General features: G+C 35.3%; 1 non-coding gene across 1 annotated transcript; it reads left to right on the plus strand.

Annotated features, from left to right (window-relative positions):
* The first annotated feature begins 2,708 nt into the window (after positions 1 to 2,708).
* MIR302F (microRNA 302f) lies at positions 2,709 to 2,759 on the plus strand. The gene has a single exon (NR_031684.1). It is a non-coding gene; the product is annotated as a microRNA 302f (primary transcript).
* Positions 2,760 to 3,010: the final 251 nt, after the last annotated feature.

The raw sequence follows: 3,010 nt of genomic DNA on the forward strand, positions 1-3,010 counted from the left end.
GGGGTTGTTTGTTTTGTTTTGTAAATGTGTTTAAGTTCTTTGTAGATTCTGGATATTAACCCTTTGTCAGATGGATAGCTTGCAAAATTTTTCTCCCATTCTGTAGGTTGCCTGTTCACTCTGATTTGATAGTTTTTTGTTGTTGTTGTTTTGTTTGTTTGTTTTTTTGCTGTGCAGAGGCTCTTTAGTTTAATAAGATCCCATTTGTCAATTTTGGCTTTTGTTGTCATGCTTTTGGTGTTTTAGTCATGAAGTCGTTGCCCATGCCTATGTCCTGAATGGTATTACGTAGGTTTACTTCCAGAGTTTTAATTGTTTTAGGTCTTACATTTAAGACTTTAATCCATCTTGAGTTAATTTTTATATAAGGTGTAAGGAAGGGATCCAGTTTTAGTTTTCTGCGTATGACTAGCCAGTTTTCCCAACACCATTTTAGTAAATAGGGAGTCCTTTCCCTATTGCTTGTTTTTGTTAGGTGTGTCAAAGACCACATGGTTGCAGATGTGTGGCGTTATTTCTGAGGCATCTGTTCTGTTCCATTGGTCTATGTATCTGTTTTGGTGCCAGTACCATGCTGTTTCGGTTACTGTAGCCTTGTAGTAGAGTTTGAAGTCAGGTAGCGTGATGACTTCAGCTTTGTTCTTTTTGCTTAGGATTACCTTGGCTCTACGGGCTCTTTTCTGGTTCCATATGAAATTTAAAGTAGTTTTTTCTAATTCTGTGAAGAAAGTCAGTGGTAACTTGATGGGGATAACATTGAATCTATAAATTACTTTGTGTAGTATGGCCATTTTCATGATATTGATTTTCCCTATCCATGAGCATGGAATGTTTATCCCTTTGTTTGTGTCCTCTCTTATTTCCTTGAGCAGTGGTTTGCAGTTGTCCTTGAATAGTTCCTTCACGTCCCTTGTAAATTGTATTCCTAGGTATTTTATTCTCTTTGTAGCAATTGTGAATGAGTCCCCTCATGGTTTGGCTCTCTGTTTGTCTATAATTAGTGTATAAGAATGCTTGTGATTTTTGCACATTGATTTTGAATCCTGAGACTTTGCTGAAGTTGCTTATGGAGGTTTTGGGCTGAGATAATGGAGTATTCTAAATACACAATAATGTCATCTGCAAACAGAGACAATTTGACTTCCTCTTTTCCTATTTGAATACCCTTTATTTCTTTCTCTTTACTGATTGTCCTGGCCAGAACTTCCAATACTATCTTGAATACGAATGGTGAGAGAGGGCATCCTTGTCTTGTGCCAGTTTTGAAAGCCCATTTTGCCCATTCAGTATGATATTGGCTGTGGGTTTGTCATAAATAGTTGTTATTATTTTGGGATATGTTCCATCAATGCCTAGTTTTTTGAGAGGTTTTAGCATGATGGGGTGTTGAATTTTATCGAAGGCCTTTTCTGCATCTATTGAGATAACCATTTGGTTTTTGTCATTGGTTCTGTTTATGTGATGGATTACATTTATTGATTTGCATATGTTGAACCAGCCTTGAATCCCACGGATAAAGCCTACTTGATTATGGTGGATAAGCTTTTTGATATGCTGGTGGATTTGGTTTGCCAGTATTTTATTGAGGATTTTTGCATCAATGTTCATCAGGGACATTGGCATGAATTTTTCATTTTTTTGTCTGCCAGGTTTTCATATCAAGATAATACTGGCTTCTAAATTCCCACAGGAGAAAGTGGGAAAGATCTAAAATCGACACTCTAACATCGCAATTAAAAGAACTAGAGAAGCAAGAGCAAACAAATTCAAAAGCTAGCAGAAGACAACAAATAACTAAGATTGGAGCTGAACTGAAGGAGATGGAGACATGAAAAACCCTTAAAAAAATCAATGAATCCAGGAGCTGTTTTTTTTTTAAAGATTAACAAACTAGATAGACCACTAGCCAGACCAATGAAGAAGAAAAGAGAGAATAATCAAATAGACACAATAAAAAATGATAAAGGGCATATCACCACTGATCCCACAGAAATACACACTACCATCAGAGAATACTGTAAACACTTCTATGCAAATAAACTAGAAAATCTATAAGAAATGGACACATTCCTGAACACATAAACCCTTCCAAGACTAAACCAGGAAGAAGTCAAATCCCTGAATAGACTAATAACAAGTTCTGTAATTGAGGCAGTAATTAATAGCCTACCAACCAAAAAAGCCCAGCACCAGAAGGATTCACAGCCAAATTCTACCAGAGGTACAAAGAGGAGCTGGTACCATTCCTTCTGAATCTATTTCAAACAATAGAAAAAGAGGGGATCCTCCCTAACTCATTTTATGAGGCCAGCATTATCCTGATATCAAAACCTGGCAGAGACACATTTGGTTCTTTTAAGCAATAGATTAGCCTCAGTTTTAGTATGGTACCTCTCTCAGAATCAAAAGACTGGACCATCATAAAAATCACACTCTCCCTTAACTCACTATTTTTAAGATTAATCACATTCACATGTATTTTTTTGACTATTTCTAAGGGAGACTGTGTTTTATTCACTGCTGTACTGCAAATGTTTTCTTTCCCTTCCCATGAATATTTCTGGAAATCTCCTGTGTTTATTTACTTAATTTGCTTTGTTTTATAGTTTACAAAAGGGCCATTGTAATATGGTATGAAGTTTGTATTCTTCAATAAAACTTAAATCACTAGTTATTCTCTAATACTATAATTGTCAATGATAATGTCTTCTGTGTAAACCTGGCAATTTTCACTTAATTGCTTCCATGTTTATAAAAGACATAAAAGATGATTAACATCTGGTCTACTGTGGAACAGGCCTTGGAAATTACTTAAATAACTTTCCGTTGATACCTTGGGCCATAATCACTAATGGCTTATATAACTTGCAAATGATTCAAATCATTTTATTCCACAAATATTTAGCAAAATAGTAGCAAAAATATGACTTGGCTTAAAACCGTCACTTATTTATTGAGGGCATTGCATAACTTAAGCTAATTATGATTGTTAGTTTTAGATAAATGCATT

This window comes from Homo sapiens, chromosome 18 (genome assembly GCF_000001405.40).
Source record: "Homo sapiens chromosome 18, GRCh38.p14 Primary Assembly".
NCBI classification, from domain to species: domain Eukaryota; kingdom Metazoa; phylum Chordata; class Mammalia; order Primates; family Hominidae; genus Homo; species Homo sapiens.